The following is a 27030-nucleotide window of genomic DNA, read 5'->3' as shown; positions in this document are numbered from 1 at the left end:
CTCCATGCGTTCTGTCAACCTTGACACGGATGCCTTCCTTTCATTCTCAAGAGGGCTTCCAGAAAGCCGCGTGTCTTTCATCATCCAGCCTGGATTTTCAAAGGCCGGGGATGTCCTTCACTGACGGTAAATGGCATTTAGTGGAGATTCTGGAATTTTCACCTCATGTCTAAGGCCACCGCTGCCTCTGTTATCACTTCCATCCATCTCCCTCTTCTCCCCACAGCTTCTCTCTCACTCACGGCCCTCTCCACTCAGCCTTGAACGCAGCCCTGCTGTATTTCCCTGTGCGTGAGGCTTCCTGGAACCCCCACACCTTCCTCCTTTCATGCCTTTTCTTTGCTGTTCCAAGCTAAATGTATTAGTTCCCTGTTGCTGCTGGAATAAAGTTCCACAAACTGAGAGGCTAAAATTACAGAAATTTATCTTCTTGCAGTTCTGGAGGCCAGAACTATGCCATCCAGGTGCTGTCAGTGTCCCTAAAGGCCCTGGGGAAGAGCCCTTGGCTCCTGGCTTCCAGTGCTCCCAGCCATCCTGGCCTTCCTTGGCTTGCGGCTGCATCATGCAGATCGCTGCCTGCTGTCCCCTGTCATTCTCCCTGTGCCTCCTGCTCCCTTTGCATCTCTCCTTATGAGAGACCAGTTCTTGGATTAAGGCCCACGCTAATCCAGTACGGCCTCATTTTTAACTTGATCCCATCTGCAAAGATCTATTTCCAAACAAGGTTGCATTCACAGGTACTGGGAGTTAGGACTTCAACAGATCTTTCTGGAAGACCCAGTTCCACTGACAGCACCCACCTGTGGAAGCAGCGAGCCAGCTTAAGTCGGCCTCCTCGTCCTCCTGGGCACTGCCCTGGTTCTATGCCCATCCCCCCACAGTGGTCTGGTGAGTATCACACCCATTTCTCCACCTTCTCTCCCTTTCATAGAGCCTGGCCTTGGCTGAGGCCCTGATGGGCCCCTTGGCCTCCCTTCTTTGCTGTCCATTGTCTGTCCTCTGCAATGCAGCTGGAGGGTCCTCTCAAAGCAGAGACCTGCTCACCTCCCTCGCCTGCTCGGGAGTGGAGGCTCCTCTGCAGCTGGAGAGTCTGAGCCTCTGAGCCTGATTCTCACCGTTCTCCCAAATCAGGCCCTGCCTACCACCTCTCGCCTCATCTGGAACATCCAAAATCACACTAATGATCCTGGACATGTGGAGACCCAAGCCCAGGGCAGCATGTTTCATTTGGTGTGCTTTTGATCCTTTGTCTTTATTTCGAGAGTGAGGGCTGGAATGCTCTTGCTTGTGCTCTTGCTTCAGTGTCATCAGACCACATGCAGGGCTGATTGCAGAAAGCCTCTCGTCGCTCCTGCCCTGACCTAGGCTGGGTCATGTGGCTTCCTCGGGGTTCCCAGAACCAGGGCACCTTTCATCACAGCCCACGGCACAGCCAGGTAGAAATGTCTGTCTGTCTGCTCCTCCCCTCGGCTGTCGGTGCCTGCAGAGCTTCTGCCGCATCTTGGCACTCCTAGCTGCTAACAAGACCCTCACACTGACTGTGCACAGAGCACAAAGGTGTGTAAATGGCAGCATCTCTTCCCCTCCCTGGCCCTCCACCCTCACACACCGTCACAAGGGTCAGTGACCAAACAATTTCACAGAGGAGGCAATGTTTCCATGTTTGGAGGCTGAGATTCTCAGAGAAAAGTGTCTACTATTTCTGATGGTATCTTTCGTTTTTCCAAGTGCGAAGATTGACTATCCAGAACAGTTAAGAAACCGCAGCCAGTCCTGGCCACATACTCTTAGCCCCCTTCCCCTCGGAAGACAGAGGTGCCCATCTGCACCTGGAGCTGCAGTGTTCTCGGTCAGGGTTCCCCGGAGCCCTCAGACTGAGGTGCCACAGAGCGGCTAAAGGAGATTCTGCCACAGGCTAAACAGTGCCTGGCTTTAGACTTCTGGGAGGAACAAATCTATATTTCAAAACAAAATAGTTATCTAAGATGGAGGAACTCCCTGGGTGAGAGCTGTGCCAGTGCAGGCTATGTCGTGGCCACGCCTACCCCACCTCCCCCAGTCCGTACCCACCACAGCCTCCACCTCGAGTGAGTGTGGACAGTGGAGGGAGGCCCTTGGCACCTCGGAGCTCTTCACAAAGGAAGTAGACTTGGTTTGGGATGAACAGCTTTAGTCTGAGTGAAGCCATGGGTGACCCCTTCATGCACTCTACATAAGAGATGGCGTCTTCCATCAGCTTCCCCAGCCCCTAGCCTCCCTGCCTCCCACCACCCCAGTCTCCCAACATCCTGAAGAAGGAGTCTCCAGGCTCAGGCAGAAGGCTGCCCCTGAGGCTGCCCCTGTCCACAGTCCAAATTTTGTACAGTATTCAGGTGATCATACAACATGAACAGCCATTCAGGACAAGCCCTGTTTGCTCCTTTGTGAATCAGGAAGGCTGCCCTCCTCTCTCTTTTCTCTTTTCCCCCAGTTTGTGCTTCTACAGTGTTTCCAATATGCACATAATTCCCGGAAGAACAACTGAAGAGAAAGCAGGACCTGGCATTTGTCAAGGAGAAACAGAGCTGGACACAGTCTACGGGGCTAAAGACAGATTCTATTCAGTGCTGCTGCAACCAGGGAAAGGAGATTTCAGTATGGAGCTGAGCTCCGCTCCAAATACAAAACCAGGTTGGGCTCTGTGGCCAAGGAGCAGTGCCAGGGGCTCAGTCCGTGGATGGAAATTAGTAAGAGGAGACATCAGGGTAGGGAGTACCTGCTAAGCCAGCTTACCTGGATCCTTGCTGAATGCAGGGGTGTGGGGGGGGATCAGGTATCACCGTGGGGGCTGGCTTAGCAGGGTTCTTTGTTAAGACACCCTGAGGACAGGGCTGGTGGAAAAGAATGCTCAGAGGCACCTGTCTAAAGTTTGGTCAAAGAGAGAGTCTTTGCCAATGTGCAATAATAGATATCAAAATCAGCTTCCAGTGATTACGTGTTCATGACTGCAGGGTAATGTCACAATGTCACAAAGGCCTGAGCACACACCTTGGTCAGGTTAGTGAAACCTCACGACAGCCCAGAGGTGGGTCTGTCATTACCTGTTGCAAATGAGGAAACTGTGGCTGAGCAAGGTGGAGTGACACCTTGATACGATGAGGAAGTCAAGGGCAGAGCTGAGGTCTTCAGCCAACTGTTTGATCCTGCAGTGTTCACACAATGCCCTCTACACCTGAATCCCCTAAACATGGCCAGCTTTGGGCACACCCCATCAGCATTGTTTCCAACAGCCACAATATCCACTTAGTAACAGAGCTGCCATTTCAGCTGCAGACCCCTCCCCTCTCCCCACGCATGGAGAGCTTGATGCTGGCCAAGCACTCTCTAAGGCAGGAAAGGCTGCCACAGAAGCTGGCGCCAACGGAGGGAGTTGGATCCAGCCTGCCCTGGAGCTGTAGGTGGGGGCCCAGGACCACAGCTGGAGCTCCTGGCTCACTGGGCTGCCTGATTGCTGGCCCCAGGTGCCAGTGACCACGTGGTCTCAGCATGCTGAGCCTCAAACACCTGCCAGTTCAGGCGGGCTGGGGAGGCGGCTCCTGTGGCAGGTGCAGTAGTGCGGGAGTTGCCATCAGCTTCCCAAGGAGCTGCATCTCACACCAACTACACTGCATGCACCTGCTTTCTAGAAAGATCAGGGAGACAGCCAGGAGCAGCACCCGAAGGACATGGAACGGGAGTCAGTTGCTCGGGCATTGAAGCCAAGCTCTATGGGTCCTCTTCGCACTGGGCACATTGTCACCTCTCTGGGCCTCAGTTTCCTGCAGGTGAAATGAAAAGGCTAGACCATGTTTAACTGTGGGACCTTGAGGCTCTATTAAATTTTTAACTAGAAAATGTCCATGTAGACCAAAGCAGGCTTTGCTTCCAATGTGGACAAACAAAGGCCCACAGTGTGCAGGGGTCAAGGGGTCAGCTGCAATCCTGGGCACAGAGTGGAGGAAGGATTTTCTCCTGCAGAGGGCACCGGCCCATGCCCATAGGTCACATCAGGTGGGTTCCATGGCCCCAACCACTCTGATGTTTCTGGAGGTAAGCCCTCGACATCATAGCCCAGGTCTCTGGCTTGGGTGAGCAGAACGGTGCTGACAGTGAGGAGCCCCTGCTCAACAGCCCAAGGGAAACACGTTTCATTTCTCAGTTTGCCAATTTGGCCATTAGAGTCCCAGCTCGGCCACTGAGTGTCTGCTGACACTGCGCCCCCGACCTCCCCACAGAGCCACTGCTGCCATGACACAGGCTGGACACTGGTGCTTGCCACACTTCCTACTGGGGTCGGGATGGGGGAAGCGCTGAGTCAGGACCATCAGTCACTGTAGCCCACCATACTCAGCTCCTGTGGATATGCTGTGAGCAGAGATGGAGAGTGGAGAGGAGGGAACCCCATGGGTGCCTTCTAAGGCCAGGACTTTGCAGCCACACTTCATCCCTCAACACACACTCCCCGAGCAGCTGCTGTGTGCTGCACTTTCCCTGGAATTCCAGCCTGCAGCCAACCAGAGGAAACGCCCACCCTGACAAATTTCTTGTTTTAGCAGGAGAGGGGAGATGATAAACAACATAAATTTAAACCTCCATCATGTATTACATGTGAAGGTGGGCAGGAGAAAAGTAAAGCAGGGAAAGAGAACCAGTAGGCAGGGAAGTATCACTGGGAGGGGAGGTCATGTGGAGACGGAAGGAGAAGCGGGTAGAGGCGGCCTTGATGCCGTCCTTGGGGGGCATCCCGGACAGATGGGCGAGTGGAGCCCAGGTCCCAAGGCACGAGCAGAGCTGGCAGGGCTGAGGACCAGCAGGGAGACTCAGGGCTGGAGAAGCTGGAGCAGAGTCAGTCAGGGAAGGGTCACAGAGAATGAAGTCAGGGAGGGCATGGGTACTGCAGAGCATCGTGGTTCAACGTTAGAACATCTGTGTTCATTCCAAGTGAGACAGGAAATTCAAAGGTGCAACAGCCAAGGAAGGGGGTGACCTGGTTTATGTTTTAACACCCTCCTGGCTGCTGGGCTGAAATGGGTGAGGAGCAAGGAGCAGAAGGAAGACCAGGCAGGCACTGCACAAGCCTAAGTGACAGAAATGCTTGCTCAGCCCAGGGCTGTAGAGGTGGGCCTGGGGAGGTGGGGCTGGATTCGGGATACGGGTTGGGGTACAGCTCTCAGGATATACTGAGAACCAGGATAGAGAGGGTGAGAGAAAGCACTGAGCAATCACTCCATGGTCTTGACCCTGGGCGGCTGGAAGGATGGAGCTGTCATTGACTGTGATAACAAGAGCAAGTGGAACAGGTTGCAAGAGGATGATCAGGAGTTTTGTTCCGGACATAGCAAATTTTAGATCAGACATAGCAAATTTCAGACACCTGTTAGGCTTAAAATTGAAGATGCTGTATGGGAAGTTAGATACAGTAGTCTGGAGTTCAGGATGTTGATCATGGCTAGATATATAAATTGAGAAGCAACAGCAAATCTAGGGTGTTTAAAACCAAGAGACTTAAAGCATCGATAGAGAAAGAAAGACATTCAAGGATAGAACCTGAGGCATATCAAGGTTTAAAGAAAACAGAAGGAACCCTGCAAAGGAGACTAAAGGGGAAAAGCCAGTTGTGTGTTCTGGAAGCCAAGTAAAGAGGATGCTTCACAAAAAAGGAGGACCAGCTTTGGGCATTGCTGCTGGGGGAAGGAGGAACACTTAGAATTAACCCCTGGATATAACCTTGGGCCTATCACCTGTGACCTTGACCAGAGATCCCAGGAGCGGTAGGAACAAAGGTCTGATTTGAGTCACATTGAGAGCAAAACGAGGGCAGCTGCTGCAACGAAAAGTGGAAAGAAAGGAAGGTCATTTTGCAACACGGAAAGAAATAATGGCATGTTCATTTGCTGATGGAAATGACCCAATAGGGAGGGAGAAATTGATCACGAAGGAGAGAGAGGAGAATTACCAGAGTGATGTCCTTGAGAAGCCGAGAGGGGATAGGATTTATCCTTAGTAACAGGAGAGGAAATGGAGGAGTCGGCACAGCTGGGGGAGGTGGGTGGATGACGGGGAGGGAGCTGGCAGCAATTCTTTTCTGATCACTCTGATTTCCTCCATGAAACTAAAGAAGCAAAGAAATCAGCTGATACAAGGATGAAGGAAGAGTTGACGCAGGTTTTGAGAGAGGAGAAGGTGTCAGACAGTGATCTATACATGTAACATGATGGCCAGGCAGCTCTCAGGGCTGTCAGTGGCCACAAATTTAACAAGAGCAGGGTCAGCACAATGGTGTTCTTCTGTCCAGCCTCCCACAGCACAAGGGAAGGGACAGCATGGCCAGAGGACTGGGGCCTTGCCAAGGAAGTGAGATGCAGACAGAGAGGAACAAGGGAGTTCAGTTTATGGATTGAGAAGTATTCATCTTTCTTTAAGATAAGAAATTGGTTAAGTTACTTGCCCAAGGTCACAGAGCTAGTGAGATACCTACTTGGGATTTAAATCTCAATCTAGCTGACTTGAAAGCCATTAATCTTTCCACTACTTGATAAAGAGTTGCATTTTAGGCCAGGCACTGTGGCTTATGCCTGTAATCCCAGCAATTTGGGAGGCTGAAACTGGGAGATTACTTGAGGCCAGGAGTTTAAAACAAGACTGCTCAACACAGCAAGACCCTCATCTCTACAAAATTAAAAAAAAAAATTAACCAGGCATGGTGGCACTTGCCTGTCTGTAGTCTCAGCTACTCTGGAGGCTTAGGCAGAGGATTGCTTAAGCCCAGGAATTTGAGGCTGCAGTGAGCCATGATCACACCACTGCAGTCCAGCCTGGATGATGGAGCAAGATCCTGTCTCAAAAAAAAAAAAAAAAAGCATTTGACATACAGCCATTATATCTTACATCTGCCCTAGAGTTTCTATGCCACTGTATCATGCATACCACTTTGAATCATTTTGCTTTTATTATTCACCATTAGTTATTTCTTTTTCCAGTGCTTTGCAGTTGTTTATTTTTAATAATTTATTATGGCATGACCTACACACAGGAAAATCAGAGTTGAGGGGTATACAGCTTGATAAATATCACAACGTGATAATTGCTAAGGAGCTTCTTGTGTCTGGGAATTGATGTCTTGGCATTGGTTTTTGAAAATTCTCAGCCATTTTTCAATAACCAAGACAGCAAGGTCCTGGTACAAAAAAAGAAACATAGACCAATGGAACAAAATAGAGAGCCCAGAAATAAGGTCCCACACCTATAACTATCTGATCTTCAACAAAGCTGGCATAAACAAGCAATGGAGAAAGGACTCCCTATTCAATAAATGGTGCTGGAATAACTGGTTAGCCATATGCAGAAGATTGAAACTAGACCCCTTCCTTACACCATATACAAAAATTAACTCAAGATGGATTAAAGACTTAAATGTAAAACCTAAAACCATAAAAGCCCTGGAAGGCAACCTAGGCAATACCATTCTGGATATAGGAACTGGCAAAGATTTCATGATGAAGGCACCAAAAGCAATCACAACAAAAGCAAAAATTGACAGATGAGATCTAATTAAACTTAAGAGCTTCTGCACAGCAAAAGAAACTATCAAAAAAGTAAACAGACAACCTACAGGATGGGAGGAAATATTTGCAAACAAAAGTCTAATATCTAGCACCTATAAGGAACTTAAATTTACATGAAAAAAACTCATTAAAAAGTGGGCAAAGGACATGAATGGATATTTTTCAAACGAAGACATACGAGTGACTAACAAGTATATGAAAAAAAAAGGCTCAACATCACTGATCATTAAAGAAATGCAAATCAAAACCACAATGAGATAATTATCTCATACCAGTCAGAATGGTTATTACTAAAAAGTCAAGGCTGGGCGCGGTGGCTCACTCTGGTAATCCCAGCACTTTGGGAGGCCAGGGCGGGTGGATCATGAGGTCAGGAGATTGAGACCATCCTGGCTAACACGGTGAAACCCCGTCTCTACTAAAAATACAAAAAATTAGCCAGGCATGGTAGCGGGTGCCTGTAGTCCCAGCTACTCGGAAGGCTGAGGCAGGAGAATGGCAGGAACCCGGAAGGGGAGATTGCAGTGAGCCAAGATCGCACCACTGCACTCCAGCCTGGGCGACAGAGCTAGACTCCATCTCAAAAAAAAAATAAAACATTAAAAAATTAAAAATAATTTTAAAAAATCAAAAAATAACAAATGCTGGTGAGGTTGTGGAGAAAAGGGAATGCTTATACACTGTTGGTAAGAGTGCAAATTATTTCAACTATTGTGAAAAGCAGTATGATGATTCCTCAAAGAGCTAAAAACAGAACTATTATTTGACCCAGCAATCCTATTACTGGGTATATACTCAAAGAACACAAATAGTTCTCATAAAGACACATGCATGCATATGTTCATTGCAGCACTATTCTACATAGCAAAGACATGAAAGCAACCAAAATGCCCATCAATGGCAGATTGGATAAAGAAAATATGGTATATATACACCATGGAATACTATGCAGGCATAAAAAAGAACAAGAGCATGTCCTTTGCAGGAACATGGTTGGAGCTGGAGGCCATTACCCTTAGCAAACTATTTCAGGAACAGAAAAACCAAATATTGCATGTTCTCACTTATAAATGGGAGATAAATGATGAGAACACATGGACACAAAGAAGGGAGCAACACACACTGGGGCTTACCTAAGAGTGGAGGGTGGGAAGAGGGAGAGGCTCAGAAAAAATAATTCTTCGGTACTAGTCTTAGTGCCTTGGTGATTAAAGAATCTATACAACAACCCCCATGAAATGAGTTTACCTATATAACAAAACTGCACATGTACCCCTGAACCAAAAATAAAAGTTTTTAAAATAAAATAAAATAAAATAAACATGTAGGTAAATATTTTTTTAAAAAGAAAATCTTCAGCCATTATCTCTTTTAAGACTGCTGTTGACTCTGTTTGCTCACCTTTGGGAACTCAATTCTATGAATGTTAGACCTTTCATTTTTGTGAATATTTCTCTTTATTCTTTGCCACATTTTTCATCATTTATTTTTTCTATGGTTCATTCTTTTCATTGTCTTTCACCTATTCTCTTTTTCTCTGGTGAAATTCTCCAACTTGACTTTTAATTCTTGAGCATATTAATCATAGTTACTTTAAAGTCTATTTCTGATAATTTTGATATCTGGATTTCCTGCGCTTCTGTTCCTGTTGTCTAGTATTTTCTGTTTGGTTTTGGTCTATTCTTATCTGTTTTTATCTGTTATTTTTAACTTTATTTAGTACATTATGTATGGAAAATTAGAAATCATGTGAGGGACTGATCTATGCTATCATTCTCTGGGGAACACTTACTTTTGCTTTAGAAGGGGAGTCAGGGTAGGGCTAGATGACCTTAATCCAAAAGAGGACTGAGCTGATTCCCAGCTGGGCTTCAGTCTCTCTGGGGCCTGTTCCATTTATGGTTAATCCTTACTCTTACATGTTATTCTGCAAGATTTCCAACTGAAAGCATGGGGTATTTCCCAGAACCTCTTTTTCACAGTGGTCTCTGATATCTGATATTTGTTTTTCCAGGTCTGGGAGCCTGCTGAGAGCTCTGTTCAGATTCTCAAAATTTGGTTACTACAAATGCCCTGAAGGAAAAAGTGGCACCTAATGTCAGGGTTTCTTCACTGTAATCGCCTTCCCATAATCTTGGGGTATTAGTCCATTCTCACACTTCTGTGAAGAAATACCCAAGATTGGGCAATTTATAAAGGAAAGAGTTTTAATTGACTCCAGTTGTGCAGTGCTGGGGAGACCTCAGGAAACTTACAATCATGGTGGAAGGGGAAGCAAATACGTTCTTCTTCACATGGCTGCAGCAAGAAGTGCCAAGTGAAAGGGGGGGATCCCCTTATAAAACCATCAGATCTCATGAAAAATCACTCACTATCATGAGAACAACATGAAAGTAACTGCCCCCATGATTAAATTACCTCCCACTGGGTCCCTCCCATGACACAAGGGGATTATGGGAACTGCAATTCAAGGTGAGATTTGGGTGGGGACACAGAGCTAAACCATATCATTCCACCATGGCCCTGCCCAAATCTCATGTTCTCCCATTTCAAACCACAATCATTCCTTTCCAACAGTCCCCCAAAGTCTTAACTCATTCTAGCATTAACCCAAAAGTCCAAGTCCAAAGTCTCATCTGAGACAAGGCAAGTACCTCCTGCCTATGAGCCTGTAAAATCAAAGCAAGTTAGTTACTTCCTAGATGCAATGGGGGTACAGGCATTAGGTAAATACACCCATTCCAAATGGGAGAAATTGGCCAAAACAAAGGGGCTACAGGCCCCATCAAGTCTGAAATACAGTGGGGCAGCCAAACCTTAAAGCTCCAAAATGATCTACTTTGATTCCTTGTCACATCCAGACCATGCTGATGCAAGAGATGGGCTCCCACAACCTTGAGTAGCTCCAGCCCTGTTGCTTTGCAGGGTACACCCCCCCACACACACACCTGGCTGCCTCCTCAGGCTGGTGTTGAGTGCTTACAGCTTTTCCAGGTGCATGGTGCAAGCTGTTGGTGGATCTACCATTCTGGGTCCTGAAGGACAGTGGCCCTCTTCTCCCAGCTCCACTAGGCAGTGCCTCAGTGAGGACTCTGAGTGGGGGCTCCAACCCCACATTTCCCTTCTGCACTGCACTAACAGAGGTTTTCCATGAGGGCTATGTCCCTGCAGCAAACTTCTGCCTAGATATCCAGGGGTTGCCATACATCCTCTGAAATCTAAGCAGAGGTTCCCAAACTTCAATTCTTGACTTCCATGCACCCACAGGCTCAACAACACTGGTAGCTGCCAAGGCTTGGGGTTTGCACCCTCTGAAACCATGTCCTGAACTGTACCTTGGTCACCTGTTAGCCATGGCTGGAGCTGCTGGGATGCAGGGCACCAAGTCCCTAGGCTGCACACAGCAGAGGGGGCCCTGGGTCCAGCCCGCAAAACCATTTTTTCCTCATAGGCCTCCAGTCTTGTGATGGGAGGAGTTGCCGCAAAGGTCTCTGACATGCCCTGAAGACATTTTCTCCAATGTCTTAGTGATTAACATTCGGTTCCTCATTACTCATGCAAATTTCTACAGTTGGCTTGAATTTCTCTCCAGAAAATTGATTTTTCTTTTCTATCACATCATCTGGCTGCAAATTTTCAAAACTTCTAAGCTCTGCTTCCTCTTAAATGCTTTGCTGCTTAGAAATTTCTTCTGCCAGATACCCTAGATCATCTCTCTCAAGTTCAAAGTTTCGCAGATCTCTAGGGCAGGGGCAAAATGCCACCAGTCTCTTTGCTAAAACATAGCAAGAGTCACCTTTATTCCAGTTCCCAACAAGTTCTTCATCTCCATCTGAGCCCACCTCAGCCAGGGCTTCACTGCTGATATCACTATCAGTATTTTGGTCAAAGACATTCAACAAATCTCTAGGAAGTGTCACACTTTTCTTCTGAGTCCTCCAAATTGTTCCTGTTTTCTTCTGAGCCCTCCAAATTGTTACAACCTCTGCCTGTTACCCAGTTCCAAAGTCACTTCCACATTTTTGGCTGTCTTTACAGCAGCTCCCCACTACCTCGGTACCAATTTACTGTATTAGTATGTTCTCCTGCTGCTAAGAAGAAATATCTGAGATTGGGCAAGATATAAAGGAAAGAGGTTTAATGGACTCCAGTTCTGCAGAGCTGGAGAAGCCTCAGGAAACTTACAACCTTGGTGGAAGGGGAAACAAATATGTCCTTCTTCACATGGTGGCAGCAAGAAATGCCAAGCAAAAGGGGGAGAAGCTCCTTATAAAACCATCAGATCTCATGAGAACTCACTCACTATCATGAGAATGCATGAGGGTAACTGCCCCCATGATTAAATTACCTCCCACTGGGTGCCTCCCATGACACATGGGGATTATGGGAACTACAATTCAAAGTGAGATTTAGGTGGGGACACAGCACCAAACCACATCAGTTGGCCTTCGAGTTCTTGCTGTCTTGGAAGTTCTCCAAAGTTTTAAACAGATAGATGAGCTTTTTTTTTTTTTCTTTATGTTGTGTTCAGTTTTTCTAATTGTTCCTGGTAGGAAGACTAGTCTTCATTATCTAGTCTCCCATTAGCAGAATTAGAAGTCTCTTCTTAATTGCTTACAGCAATTTTGCAGAGGTTCTCTTATTTGCTTCCAAAGCCCAGCAGTCTGTGGCAAAGATGTAGCAGAAAGACTATCGGAAAAGACATAGGAGAAAAAACTCATTTCACTGGGCAAATGGCAAATGACTTAGTGCATTGTGTTAGTACATTCTCTTAAGAATGTTACTCTTGTGTTAATTTCCTTAACAAACTTTTCTTTGGTTTTGAAACTTCTACCTCTTTCTGGCCAGGTGCTGTGGCTCATGCCTGTAATCCCAGCAGTTTGGGAGGCTGAGGCAGGTGGATCACCTGAGGTCAGGAGTTCGAGACCAGCCTGGCCAACATGGAGAAATCCCATCTTTACTAAAAACACAAAATTAGCCAGACATGGTGGCTCATGCCTGTAATCCCAGCTACTCGGGAGGCTGAGGCAGGAGAATCACTTGAACCCGGGAGGCGGAGGTTGCAGTGAGCCAAGATTGCGCCATTGCACTCCAGCCTGGGCAACAAGAGTGAAACTCCATCTCAAAAAAAAAAAAAAAAAAGAAAGAAATTCTACCCCTTTCTGTCACAGAGGGCCTATAGAGTTAATTTTTTTTTAACTAGGAAATCTCTCTCAGGATACATCCACCAACACATTGTGTTCTTAGAAAATTTCCACTTCTTATGAAAGCATGCCAGGTTACTTAATTATAAGTTTCCAAGTAGTGGTTGGGGCAGAATAAAGGGTTTCAAGATGTACAACCTAACCACAAATGTAATAATGTGTTTTCAGGGGGAAAAAAAAGAATTTTAATTTAAAAAGCAAAATGACAGATTAGAGAAATGTAATCAAGCAAGTCAATCTTACAGACATTTATTTATAATCCATTTCCTCTGGAGATTCAGCTAGGAGCATGAGTAGGAGATGAAACCTTGTTCAGAAGCCACCTGTGCTTGCTCCCTCTGACCCCAGGCTGTGTCTGTGCTCTGGACTCCATCAGTGAGCCTGAGAGGGAAGGTTGGGTCTCAGGGCAAGGAGAAAGGGCAAGAAGGGGAAGCTTTTTGTAAAAAGCAGACAGCGAGGTTGAGGGACTGGCCTCTGTGTGAGTGAACAGAGATGTGCTTGTAGACGTGTGTGGGCAAGGGCGGGGAAGAAGCCAGGGACCCAGTACTTTTTGCAAATACCCTCTGCATAGAGTATTTCAGCTCAATCATATTGAACATCTCTTGGGTCGCCTAAAACATGCTTTCTAAAGCAAATTTACATCCTGTGCCAAATTTAATCTCTTGGTACTGTGTTGAGAAAGCTTCTGAGGCTGAATCAAGGTCCAGGAGAAGGTCACTGTGAAGAATGGGGTCAGCCACAGCCACAGCACAGGGCTTGTGCGTTTGCCACTTCTCTCCTTAGAAGAAGCGTATCATCATAATCATTCCAGAATGTGCTTGGGCATGTCAAAGTACATCGTTACTTTTTCACTTTTTCCCAAAACAACTTCATGATGTAGATAAGACAGGTATTATAAATCCCACTTAACAGGTGAGAAAGCGGCAGCAGGGAATGTAACAGGATTTGTCCACATCATCCACAGGTCCTCAGTAACCGTGTTACAGGAAAGGTTTCTGATCCAGACCCCAAGAGAGGGTTCTTGGATCTCACGCAAGAAAGAATTCAGGGCTATTCCACAGTGCAAAGTCAAAGCAAGTTTATTAGGAAAGTAAAGTGGTGAAAGGACAGCTACTCCATTGAGTAGGATGTTCCTGAAAGTAAGAGGAGGAACACATCCACCCTAGGTACAATGCTTGTATCTATGGGGAGGTGTGCTCTGCTACAAGGATTTGTGATAAAGGATTAATTTTCTTAACTACTGTATTTTGCAAGATTCAATACTCTTATCTTTAAAGCAAAATTAGGAATGCCTTTGATGTCCAGATATCAGGATATCTGGACACTCCCAAGTTTGGGTTTGTTTAGTAAACATTATTAATTTGTCCCCTTAACCTTAAACATCTAGAGCCTCGGAATGCCTAACTTTCTGAGAATGCAGCCTAGCAAGTCTCAGTTTCATTTTCTAGCCCTCACTCAAAATAAAGTCCAGTTTCATTTTCCAGCCCTCACTCAAAATGGAGTCTCAGTTTCATTTTCCAGCCCTCACTCAAAATGGAGTCGCAGTTTCATTTTCCTAGCCCTCACTCAAAATGGAGTCTCAGTTTCCATTTCCTAGCCCTCACCCAAAATGGAGTCACTCTGGTTCTAACACCTATGACAACCGCTGCTGCGATTCCTGCTCAACTTTCCAACGGTTGGAAGAAGGACAAGTCGGTGCCCAGTAATCAGAGAATCATGTTAAACAAATGAACTAGACAAAAATATTTATAGCATTGCTCTCAAAAAAACACAATGAATGCTCCCAACAGAAATGATCCTGTCCACTCATGATAAAAAATTAAACATGTCATTCAGAATATTTTATAAAACATAAGTAAAAGATAAAGTTATGAATGGTTATGAATATAGATTAACTTAATATTAGAAGTGGACTTAACATAAGTAGTTAATGTTGCAAGCATATGAAGAAATAAAAGATGCCATCATCATTGAAAACTTTAGCTGCTAATCATTGTGCCTATCGAAAAAGAAGGCAGGAAAAAGGGAGTTTAATTCAGTTAAACAAACATTTGCTTGAGCCCTATACTAACTGTATAGAATATCATTTAAGCATATTTGAGCTAGCACATAATGAGTTAGATAAGTGGACAAAAACAATAATCCAAGACAGGATAAGATACACACTATTGGAAAGACTCAAAGAAAATATTGAAACTGCCTTTCCAAAATTAGAATCAGCAAGAAGGTTGTGACAATGGGGGAGATCTGTTCTAGCTCAACCCCGCTCCTAGCTTTAGTCTCTTCACCACCCCCAGCTGCCTTTGATTATTCCTGGGCTAGCTTTGGGAGACATTTAGTTCATAGTTTAAATGATAATAGCCCTCCCCAGCTAATGAGAGGTTGGCAGGCTAGAAGGAGCAGAGGAACCTTAACCCTGCTAAGGTGCAGGCAGAAACGATTGTCAGCCACATACAACTGACCTAACTGCTCCTGCAAATAATATCAGTATCCTAGAACCTAAGATTGGCCTTTTGAGATATCTTTTCAGTTTTTTTTTTTTTTACATGTCTGACACCCATGGCTCCACTTGGACCCACCAACCCCACTCCTGTGGCCCCACCCAGAAGCAATTCAGCCTGCAGGAGGACAGCTTCCACCCCCTATGATTTCATCTCTGCCCCAATCAATCAGCAGTAAGCACCTGTTACCTGGCCACCCCAACCTATTCTCCCAAACTGCCTATGAAAAACCCCTAAACTAGGAGGTTTGAGGAGACTGATTTGAGTAATAATAAAACTTCGGTCTCCCAAACAGCTGGCTCTGTATGAATTACTCTTTCTCTATTGGTTTTCTGTTCCTGCATCTGCTTAGGATTATGGCCCCCTCTCTTGATGAATCGGCTCTGTCTAGGCAGCGGGCAAGGTGAACCCACTGGGCAGTTACAATATCATGGGAGAACATGGAATCAAGAGATTTGGAAATAAACATTCTGAATGATTACTGAATGAGCATGAATTTCATTTCTAAAATACTTATAATTTGCTCTCAAATTCAAAGAGGCAAAAAAGGGAGAAATATTTCTTTCAAAATTTCATGTATTGACTGATCCTTCATATTATTTTTTTCCTGGAATCCTCAGATAGATACCAACAAACTGTGTCTATAATATATGCAGGTCCATTTCCTGGACCCTTTCAGGGATTGTATATAATGAGCATTCGATAGTAAAACAATTCATCTCAGGAATCGTGGCATGGATTTTAATCTCTGGTTATAAATCTTCAAAGATCAGGAAAAGAGAAAATGACTTCTATGAATGAATCATAGAAACCAAGAGTCTGATGCAAATTCATCCAACTTTAAATGGAAATATTTTCAGACTATCCAAGATGGGCTGTTTTACTCAATAGCTGTCCTGGAATCAAGGTCTTGTTTTTCCCAAAATTAAAATGTTTCTTTTCATTGTTTATTTATTTTCTATTTTGTAACCTTTATTTAGGTTCAGGGGTACATGTACTGGTTTGTTATACAGGTAAATTGTGTATCATAAGGGTTTGGTGGACAGATTATTTCATCACGCAGGTACTAAGCATAGTATCCAAAGGTAGTTTTTTGATCCTCTTCCTCCTCCCACCCTCCAGGAGGCCCCAGTGTCTGTCCTTCCATTCTTTGTGTCCGTGTAGACTCAGTGTTTCGCTCCCATTTATAAGTGAGAACATGTGGTATTTGTTTCATGCGCATCCGTGTGAAGAGACCACCAAACAGGCTTTGTGTGAGCAACATGGCTGTTTATTTCACCTGGGTGCAGGCGGGCTGAGTCCGAAAAGAGAGTCAGTGAAGGGAGATAACGGTGGGGCTGTTTTATAGGATTTGGGTAGGTAAAGGAAAATTACAGTCAAAGGGGGTTTGTTCTCTGGTGGGCAGGAGTGGGGGGTCGCAAGGTGCTCAGTGGGGGAGCTTTTTGAGCCAGGATGAGTCAGGAAAAGGACTTTCACAAGGTAATATCATCATTTAAGGCAAGGACTGGCCATTTACACTTCTTTTGTGGTGGAATGTCATCAGTTAAGCTGGGGCAGGGCATATTCACTTCTTTTGTGATTCTTCAGTTACTTCAGGCCATCTGGGCATGTACCTGCAAGTCACAGGGGATGCGATGGCTTGGCTTGGGCTCAGAGGCCTGACATTCCTGCCTTCTTATATTAATAAGAAAAATAAAACAAAATAGTGTTGAAGTGTTGGGGCGGCGAAAATTTTTGGGGGGTGGTATGGAGAGAGAATGGGCGATGTTTCTCAGGGCTGCTTCAAGCAGGATTAGGGGCAGTGTGGGAACCTAGAGTGGGAGAGATTAAGCTGAAGGGAGGTCTTGTGGTAAGGGGAGATATTGTGGGACTGTTAGAAGAAACATTTGTCGTATAGAATGATTGGTGATGGCCTGGATATGGTTTTGGATGAATTGAGAAATGAAATGGAATAAGAGAAGGAGAAAAACAGGTATAAAAGGTAGATATCAGCTGTGATGGCTTGGAGAAACAGTGTAAACCAGCAGTGTAAACAAGAGCAGGGCATGTATGAGTAGTTGAGAATGGTGATTAGGAGTATGACTAGACAAAAGATAGGAGGGATGACAAGTTTTTTGGGGCACAGTCTAAGTTGGTCTGGTGTCTAGAATGAGACTGGGGCCTAATAAAAAGGAGCGTCTACACAGGAGCTTAAATGGGCTGTACCCTGTAGCATTCTGAGGACAGGTCTGACTTCTGAGAAGGGAAAGTGGTAAAAGTATTGTCCAGTCCTTTTTAAGTTGGTGGCTGAGCTTGGGGAGGTGTGTTTTTAAAAGACCTTTAGTCCGTTCTACTTTTCCTGAAGGCGGAGGACCGTAAGGGATATAAAGGTTTCACTGAATACTAAGAGCCTGAAAAACTGCTTGGCTGATTTGACTAATAAAGGCTGGTCTGTTATCAGACTGTATAGAGGTGGGAAGGCTAAACTGAGGAATTATGTCTGACAGAAGGAAAGAAATGACTGCGGTGGCCTTCTCAGACCCTGTAGGAAAGGCCTGTATCTATCCAGTGAAAGTGTCTACCTAGACTAAGAGGTATTTTAGTTATCTGACTCAGGGCATGTTGAGTAAAGCTAATTTGCCAGTCCTGGGTGAGGGCAAATCCTCGAGCTTGATGTGTAGGGAAGGGAGGGGGCCTGAATAATCCCTGAGTAGTAGTAGAATAGCAGATGGAACACTGAGAAGTTATTTCCTTGAGGATAGATTTCCACGATGGAAAGGAAATGAGAGGTTCTGAGAGGCGGGCTAGTGGCTTGTACTATAGCATAACCTGCCTTTGCCGGTGTGTGGTGATTAGGCCTGGTGGAACTGCCATCAATAAATGAAGCGTGACCAGGGTGAGGAAGAGGAAAGAAGGAAATATGGGGAAATGGGGTGAATATCAGGTGGATCAGAGAGATACAGTCATGGGGGTCAGGTGTGGTATCAGGAATAATGTGGGAGGCTGGATTGAAGTCCGGCCCAGGAACAATGCTAATTGTGGGACTTAAAGAGTGAGTACAGCTGAAGGAGCCGGGGAGCAGAAAGTATATGCATCAGGTATGAGGAAGAAAATAGATTTTGGAAGTTATGAGAAATGTAGAGAGTGAGTTGAGCATAGTTTGTGATTTTTAGGGCCTCTAACAGTATTAAAGCAGCGGCAGCCACTGCACACAGACATGAGGGCTAGGCTAAAACAGTAAGGTCAAGTTGTTTGGACAGAAAGGCTACACGGTGTGGTCCTGGCTCTTGTGTAAGAATTCTGACTGCACTAACCATGCCTAGGAAGGAAAGGAGTTGTTGTTTTGTGAGGAATTGAGGTTTGGGAGATTAATAGGACACGATCAGCAGGGAGAGCACCTGTGTTTTTATGAGAATTATGCTGAGATAGGTAACAGATGAGGTTGAAATTTGGGCTTGACTGAAGTAATGGGGACTGTCTCTGAAGCCTTGCGGCAGTACAGCCCAAGTAATTTGCTGAGTCTAATGGGTGTCAGGGTCAGTCTAAGTGAAAGCAAAGAGAGGCTGGGATGAAGGGTGCAAAGGAATAGTAAATAAAGCATGTTTGAGATCTAGAACAGAATAACGGGTAGTAGAGGGAGGTATTGAGGATAGGAGAGTATATGGGTTTGGCACCATGGGGTAGATAGGCAAAACAATTTGGTTGATAAGGCGCAGATGCTGAACTAACTTGTAAGCCTTGTCTGGTTTTAGGACAGGTAAAATGGGGGAATGGTAAGGAGAGTTTATAGGTTTTAGAAGCCCATGCTGTAGCAGGCGAGTGATAACAGGCTTTAATCCTTTTAAAGCATGCTGTGGGGTGGGATATTGGCGTTGAGCGGGATAAGGGCGATTCAGTTTTAATGAGATGGTAAGGGGTGCATGATCGGTCACCAAGGAGGGAGTAGAGGTATCTTATACTTGTGGGTTAAGGTGGGGGAATACAAGAGGAGGATGCAAAGGAGGCTTTGGATTGGGAAGAAGGGCAGCAATGAGATGTGGCTATAGTCCAGGAATAGTCAGGGAAGCAGATAATTTGGTTAAAATATCTCAGCCTAATAAGGGAACTGGGCAGGTGGGGATAACTAAAAGACAGTGCATAAAAGAGTATTGTCTAAGTTGGCACCAGAGTTGGGGAGTTTAAGAGGTTTAGAAGCCTGGCTGTCAATACCCACAACAGTTATGGAGGCAAGGGAAACAGGCCCTTGAAAAGAAGGTAATGTGGAGTGGGTAGCCTCCGTATTGATTAAGAAGGGGACGGACTTACCTTCCACTGTGAGAGTTACCTAAAGCTCGGCATCCGTGATGGTCTACGGTGCTTCCGAGTGATCAGGCAGCATCAGTTTCAGCCGCTAAGCCAAGAAGAAGTCAGTCAGAGAGCCTTGGGCCAGAGTTCCAGGGGCTCTGGGAGTGGCTGCCAGGTGAGTTGAACAGTCCGATTTCCAGCGGGGTCCCGCACAGATGGGACATGGCTTAGGAGGAATCCTGGGCTTCAGGCATTCCTTGGCCTGGTGGTCAGATTTCGGGCACTTGTAGCAAGCTCCTGTGGGAGGAGGTTCTGGAGGAACGCCTGGCTGCTGTGGTTCAGGCGTTTGGAAGTTCTTGTGTGCTGGAGATGTGGCTGGGGTTTGTCTCACAGTGGAGGCAAGGAATTGCAACTTTTTTTTTTATTATTGTACACATTGAAGGTGAGGTTAATTAAGTCCTGTTGTGGGGTTTGAGGGCCAGATGCTAATTTTTGGAGTTTTATTTAATGTCAGGAGCATATTGGGTAATAAAATGTATATTGAGAATAAGATGGCCTTTTGACCTTTTAGGGTCTAGGGCTGTAAAGCATCTCAGGGTTGCTGCCGAACGAGCCATGAACTGGGCTGGCTTTTTATATTTGATAAAAAAGCCTAAACGCTTCTGATTTGGGATAAAGAAAAAGGAGCATTAACCTTGACTATGCCTTTGGCTCCAGCCACCTTTTTAAGAGTAAATGCTGGGCAGGTGGGGGAGGGCTAGTCACAGAATGAAACTGTAAGCCAGAGCAGGTGTGAGGAGGGGAGGTGATAAAAAGATTACAGGGTGGAGGAGCGGAGGCTGAGGAAGAATTGGGACCTAGCTTGGCCTGGCGAGGAGGGGAGAGGTCAGATGGGTCTGTAGAAAAGGAAGATTAGAAACCCTCAGCGACACTTGGGGTTGGGACTGAGGGGATAGGCGGGAGGGAAAGAAGGAAGATTTTGGACGAGTTGCACTGGGCACAGAGATGAGGAAGGGACTGATGTGTAAAAGAATGCCTGGACGTCAGGCACCTCAGACCATTTGCCTATTTTACGACAAGAATTATTTAGATCTTGTAGGATGGAAAAATTGAAAGTGTCATTTTCCAGCTATTCAGAACTACTGTCGAGTTTGTATTGGGGTCAAGCGGCATTGCAGAAGAACATAAGGCATTTAGGTTTTAGGTAGGTGTGAGTTGAAGAGGTTTCAAGTTTTTGAGAACACAGGCCAAGGGAGAAGGAGGAGAAATGGAGGGTGGAAGGTTGCCTACAGTGAAGGAAGCAAGCCTAGAGAAAACAGAGAGTAGAGACACGGAGGGAAGGGGTTCAGGGGTTCTTACCTTCCAGAAAAGCAGGAAAGGGGTTGGGGAGTGGAAATAAGGGGTTGGGGTGCAGAAATAAGGGATGGGGCACAGAGATAAGAGGTCGGGGCATGGAAATAAGGGATTGGCGGTTCTTGCCCCCTAGAAAAGGACTTGCCACTAAGCGTGAAGGAGAAGGGGTTGAGGGGTACTTGCCCCTCTCCCAGAAAAGCGGGACTTGCCGCTAAGGGTGAAGGAGAAGGGGTTGAGGGGTACATGCCCCTCTCCCAGAAAAGCAGAGAAGGGGTAGAGACAAGGAGAGAAGGGGTTGGGGTACTTGCCCCTTCCCCAGAAAAGCGGTACTTGCTGCTAAGGGTGAAGGACCAAGGCAGGCATCCCTGTGTGGTCTGACATCTTTGAAACATGGGTGAATAATCAGAGAGGCGTCCCTGCAATGGTTAAACACCAAGGGAAGGCTGCCTTCCCAGTCCGTGACCGGCGCCGGAGTTTTGGGTCCACAGATAAAACGTGTCTCCTTTGTCTCTACCAGAAAATGAAAGGAATTGAAATTAAGAGAAGGGAGATATTGAAGTGTGGCGCCAAGATTGAAAGGAGAAAGAGGTTGAGGGATAGTGAGGGAAGCTGGAGAAGAGAGTAAAAAGAGGCCGCTTACCGGATTTGAAATTGGTGAGATGTTTCTTGGGCTGGTCGGTCTGAGGACCTGAGGTCGTAGGTGGATCTTTCTCATGGAGCAAAGAGCAGGAGGACAGGGGATTGATCTCCCAAGGGAGGTCCCCCGATCCGAGTCACGGCACCAAATTTCATGCACGTCTGTGTGAAGAGACCACCAAACAGGGTTTGTGTGAGCAACATGGCTGTTTATTTCACCTGGGTGCAGGCGGGCTGAGTCTGAAAAGAGAGTCAGCGAAGGGAGATAAGGGTGGGGCTGTTTTATAGGATTTGGGTAGGTAAAGGAAAATTACAGTCAAAGGGGGTTTGTTCTCTGGCGGGCAGGAGTGGGGGTCGCAAGGTGCTCAGTGGGGGAGCTTTTTGAGCCAGGATGAGCCAGGAAAAGACTTTCACAAGGTAATATCATCATTTAAGGCAAGGACTGGCCATTTACACTTCTTTTATGGTGGAATGTCATCAATTAAGGTGGGGCAGGGCATGTTCACTTCTTTTGTGATTCTTCAGTTACTTCAGGCCATCTGGGCATATACATGCAAGTCACAGGGGATGCAATGGCTTGGCTTGGGCTCAGAGGCCTGACAATTTGATTTTCTGTTCCTGCATCTGCCTAGGATTATGGTCTCCAGCTCCATTCATGTTGCTGCAAAAAGCACATGATCTTGTTCTGTTTTACACCTGCGTAGTATTCCATGGTGTATATGTAACATATTTTCTTTATTCAGTCTACTGTCGCTAGGCATTCAGGTTGATTCCATATATTTGCTATTGTAAATAGTGCTGCAATGAACATACAAGTGCGTGTGTCTCTGTGGTAGAAAAATTTATATTCATTGGGGTATACAGCCAGTAATGAGATTGCTTGGTAGAATGATAATTCTGTTTTAAGTTATTTGAGAGATCGCCACACTACTTTCCATGATGGCTGAACTCATTTACACTCCCACCAAGAGTGTAGAAGTGCTCCCTTTTCAACAGTCAAATAATAGCAGATGCTGGTGAGGTTGTGGAGAAAAGGAATGAAGATCTGAGAGCGCACTGAATCAAGCGTTTGACATTAAAGCCCCTTTGTGTCATGAGTTCTCCTCTTACTGAACACATGGGCACTGGGCAGAGGAAAAGAGACTTTAGCTCCATGATGAATTTCTAAAGTTTCCTGATCCATGGGCACTCTCATTGGTGATGTCTCCTCCATCCACCTGGGCCTTGGTGCTTAGGTCTTCATAGATAAAAGCCAAATTGAATGTTACCCCTTTCCCAATGTGGGGCTTCAAATAAAAAAGTCACAACTTCTTTAACACTCCTCCCTTCAAGGGACTGGGTCCATGTCCTCTCCCCTTAAATCAATCAAGCAATGCAGTGGGTGGCGCTGATGATGCCCTAGGGCTCCTGAAGTGAAGCCATACACAGCCACGCAGCCTCCACATGGCCTCGAGCAGCAGTGGCTTTTGGAGCACTCCTCGAGACCCAGCCCAGGTCACTTGGAGATGCCATGTGCTCACACTTGCTCAGCCATGGGAGTGGAGGCTGGTACCGAGTCATCCCAGCCCAGGCACCACACATCTGAGTGAAGAAGCTTCCAGATGGTTCCAGGGCCCAGTCTCAGGTCACTCCAGCCATTCGTCTTTCTGAATGAGGCCCCTGTGCTCCCGCTGTGCTCTGTATAATTTCCTGGCCCACATGGTTTGGGAGCATAATAAGACGCCTGCTGCCCTGCACCACTCAGGCTCAGGCCACTTCCACAGCCCTTAGTAAGCACAACCCTCTACACCACTGTCAGCCACGTTCCTCGAACTTGTCCAGAGCCCCCACTCTCCATCCATTTCCAGACAGACCCCTCAATCCCAAGGAAGTCCTTACACAAGTCTTCCATTTTACCAGTCACTCAATTTGACACAAATATTTTTCTCATTATAATATTTTGGTTTATTTACTGCCATTTTAAAGATTATTTCACTATTACAGGACATTTTACTATTATGGGATGTTTAGATTATTTTGCATTTGGGACAATTATGAATAATGCTATTATAAATATCTTTGTGTGTGATTTTATGCTCCAGTTGGAGATTTGTTGCACATGATAGATTTTCAGAAGTTCAGTTACTGGGTTAAAGAGGATTAATGACTTAAGGCTCTTGAGGCATATTGCCACATCTCTTTTCAAAAAGTTATAACAACTCATGGTAACACCAATAATATATGAGCCTGCTTGTATCACTGTACCCTCTCCAGCTAAACTTAAACAGACAATTAAGAAAAATATTGACTTGAAGTATAAAACTCATAGCTTTATTTATCTCACAAATTCAGGTAGATGTGGAGTGACAAGAAGGGTTGCTGGAATAAGAGGTTCATCATAACACCAGATACAAAAACAGATAAATTATTCCTTAGAAGAAAAGGGAAATGCAAAGGAATGGTTGTCAAGCCTTGGGGAGGGAAAGAGTGAGGCAGAGCAAAAGAGAGATGGAGCAATGCCGGGAAAGGGAGACACGGAGCCCATGGCAAGGCCCACATGCATGAAGGCTGGGAGGAGAGCCAAAAGCAGAGGAGAAACTCCAAGCAAATGCAGGGATCTCAGAATTAGACCAGGGTATTGGAAAGACCAGACGAGAGTCATTAAGAAAGAGAAAAAATAAGCCAGGCATGGCGGCTCACACCTGTAATCCCAGCACTTTGGGAGGCCAAGGTGGGCAGATCACCTGAGGTCAGGAGTTCAAGACCAGCCTGGCCAACATGGAGAAACCCCATCTGTACTAAAAGTACAAAAATTAGCCATGCGTGGTGGTGTGCACCTGTAGTCCCAGCCACTCCGGAGGCTGAGACAGGACAACTGCTTGAACCCAGGAGGCGGAGGTAGCAGTGAGCCACTGCACTCCAGCCTGGGCAACAGAGTGAGACTCTGCTCCCATCCCCTAAAAAAGAAAATTTAAAAAAAAAGAAAGTGGGTAAAACAGTCTTGACCAGTGGCATCAATATGATGGAATTCCACCTTGTTTATCACCCGTGGTTCCCTCAGAGGATGGCTAGAGGTTAGAACACAAGCTTTAGATCAATAGCGTTAGAAAAAAATATTATTAAAAAATCTGGAGTAAGAATGAATTTGGCCAAACAGATTCAAATATCCTTACCATTATTTTCCAAAATAACTACCATTTCCACTTGTTTAGGCAAATGTAGCTCCTAAAACTAAGAAATTTATGGGAATATTCAAAACAACGTTATAAAGATGGTTTTCCTTGAAATTCCCTCTGTTTAATGGCCAGCATGCTGTACTGTCCTATTTTTTTTTTCTCCAGATACCAAAGGCTCGTGATAAAAACATCTGGTTTATGTGAGCCTTGGTTTTGGCAGTAGCACATTAATGTAAGTAAATATCTGATTAAAAATGCGTCACACGGTTGAAACTGATATCATCAGCTACTTGGTTTTTCCAAGAACAATACAGGATAAAGCACCAATTAAGTCTCCTAAACAAGAGGACCAGAGAGTAACAGATGATAAAATAGTTCATTTAATTCAGGCTGTCTTCTGCATTGGCATTGGGAGCCTATGTCATTCACGATTCTTGAAGTTACTGGACTTGCAGAAAGAAATCTAATTTGCCCCCACATCGCATTCAAGTACTTGTTACTCACATCTCGCAATTTTATATTCTGCTTCGCCAGGAATTGGACACACGGAGTATTCTAAGTTTATAGAATAAGCAACATCGATACCTCAGGTGTGGTTTGTCCATTACCCAAACTCACTTTTATTTGTCTACTCATCTACCATGTGCATGGTGATTTCCTATGTGTGATTCTACTTCATGAGCACAACAATATAACAGAAAATGATTCATCTCTCCACTTTCAAAGCACTGGCCCCAGGTAAATCCAGCCACTCATGAGGGTAGCCTGATGTGGAGAGAAGGAGAGAAGCCACACAAATGCCACATGACACTGTCTCAGAGCATTGTTCTCCCACGGCCGCTGGCCCTCCGGCCACGGGGTCCACGCCCTGCCTCACCTCCTGTGTCCCTGCTCTCCAGGATTCTGTGCAGTGCTGAGGGCAGCCAGAGGGCCAGCTATGGGCCTGCGACCCGGGGCCATCGCTTCCTTGTAACTATCATGTGCCCCTGTGTGAATTCTTCCACCTTCAGTTCTCGTAGTAAATCTAACTCAGTCACGTGAAAAATATAACATTTTGTAAGATCTCAGGGGATCTGGGGACAACTTTCCACACCATTTTCTGAAGAATTCTCTTGTTTACATCGAGACTACAAAGGAACAGAAAGTGACCTCTCATGTCCAGGTGCCCTTTGAAAAGATTGCTGGTGTTTTCCAACATGCTTTCCTTCCACAGAGACAAACACTCCCCATTTGGAAAGCCCTGGTTTCTGCTGAGGGCCTTTGAAAACAACTGAAAACACCATGGTGGCTTTTAATACCATTTGGCTGGAACCACAGAAGGTGTTTGCCTGGTGCAAGCGTCCTGGGCTGACCCCACAAGGGATCTAAGTAGTGGGTCCCACTCTGCAGCTCCGCAGATGTTTGCCCTTAAGGATGGGACCTGTGTAGCGAAGGGGGCAGTTCAAGCAGAGGACAGAACAGCAAAGTAGGGTTTAATTCCAGGGCCCCCACTTGGAGCTGGGCAGCCTTGCCCAGGCTTTGCCTTCTGGGGAGTGCAGGATGGGTTTCAAGCACTCAGCTCTATCTCATGGGCTTGTGAGAATCAAGCATAGAGAAGCCAGCATTTATTGCCCATTTCCTGTATCCTTGATATCGTGCTGTGCACTTTTACGTTCAATATCTCCAATTCTTCGTTTACCTGTGAGGGCGGTTCTGTTGTCCTCCTTGTTTCACAGAAGAGAAGAGTGAGGCAGAGAGACTTGAAGAGGTTTCTCTTCAAGGTCAAATTATGGGTGAGGCCCTTAGGGGCTGCAGAGTGGGACCTGGCCCACTGCATACTCAGCGACCTGGCCCCAGGACAACCTCCCTTTCCTTACTACGACCCTGCACAATCCATCAGGTCACAAGAACAGAGAGAGCACAGGCAAGTGGTGAATAAACAGTGGCTTCCCTTGCTCTCCATCTGTGTTTACAATCGTGATAGAATATTGGCGTTTTAAATGTAAACATAATTTTGTAACACGTGATCATCCCTAAATGTAAGTTTCTAGCTGCGGAGGGAATCCTTCCATGCAAGCACCTGTGAGCACTTTGCCGTGTGTGCAATGGAGGCTCAGGAACAGCAAAATGAATGAACGGTTGACTGTTGACCAAACACCACTAAATTATTTCACAAGATCCCTAAACATGCGTAAGTGCCCATCCTGATAAATAGTTATTCTTGGAAGCTGCTGTTGCTTCTGAAATTACTTGCAACATATTGATTTTATTCTAGTACTGAAAAGTTATTCAGTTCTATTATATTTGATTCTTTTTACCTACCCGTATTACAAGCAACTTTCCGATCTCAGGAAAA

The 27030-nt window shown here is 45.7% G+C and overlaps 5 annotated features.

Moving 5' to 3' along the window:
* Window positions 1240–1740: an enhancer, noted in NCBI's record as "H3K4me1 hESC enhancer chr5:5536038-5536538 (GRCh37/hg19 assembly coordinates)". NCBI's record gives its function as "activates a minimal SCP1, AML or CMV promoter by ChIP-STARR-seq in primed H9 embryonic stem cells {active_cell/tissue: H9 hESC(primed)}" and the evidence as "EXISTENCE:reporter gene assay evidence [ECO:0000049][PMID:30033119]".
* Window positions 14157–14436: an enhancer, noted in NCBI's record as "active region_22325". NCBI's record gives its function as "activates an Ori minimal core promoter by ATAC-STARR-seq in GM12878 lymphoblastoid cells {active_cell/tissue: GM12878}" and the evidence as "EXISTENCE:reporter gene assay evidence [ECO:0000049][PMID:35858748]".
* Window positions 16083–16728: an enhancer, noted in NCBI's record as "OCT4-NANOG-H3K27ac hESC enhancer chr5:5521050-5521695 (GRCh37/hg19 assembly coordinates)". NCBI's record gives its function as "activates a minimal SCP1, AML or CMV promoter by ChIP-STARR-seq in naive and primed H9 embryonic stem cells {active_cell/tissue: H9 hESC(naive and primed)}" and the evidence as "EXISTENCE:reporter gene assay evidence [ECO:0000049][PMID:30033119]".
* Window positions 16729–17375: an enhancer, noted in NCBI's record as "OCT4-NANOG-H3K27ac hESC enhancer chr5:5520403-5521049 (GRCh37/hg19 assembly coordinates)". NCBI's record gives its function as "activates a minimal SCP1, AML or CMV promoter by ChIP-STARR-seq in naive and primed H9 embryonic stem cells {active_cell/tissue: H9 hESC(naive and primed)}" and the evidence as "EXISTENCE:reporter gene assay evidence [ECO:0000049][PMID:30033119]".
* Window positions 25874–26670: an enhancer, noted in NCBI's record as "H3K27ac-H3K4me1 hESC enhancer chr5:5511108-5511904 (GRCh37/hg19 assembly coordinates)". NCBI's record gives its function as "activates a minimal SCP1, AML or CMV promoter by ChIP-STARR-seq in primed H9 embryonic stem cells {active_cell/tissue: H9 hESC(primed)}" and the evidence as "EXISTENCE:reporter gene assay evidence [ECO:0000049][PMID:30033119]".

This window comes from Homo sapiens, chromosome 5 (assembly GCF_000001405.40).
Source record: "Homo sapiens chromosome 5, GRCh38.p14 Primary Assembly".
Taxonomy (NCBI): Eukaryota; Metazoa; Chordata; class Mammalia; order Primates; family Hominidae; genus Homo; species Homo sapiens.
This window is presented reverse-complemented; position numbering and strand designations above follow the sequence as displayed.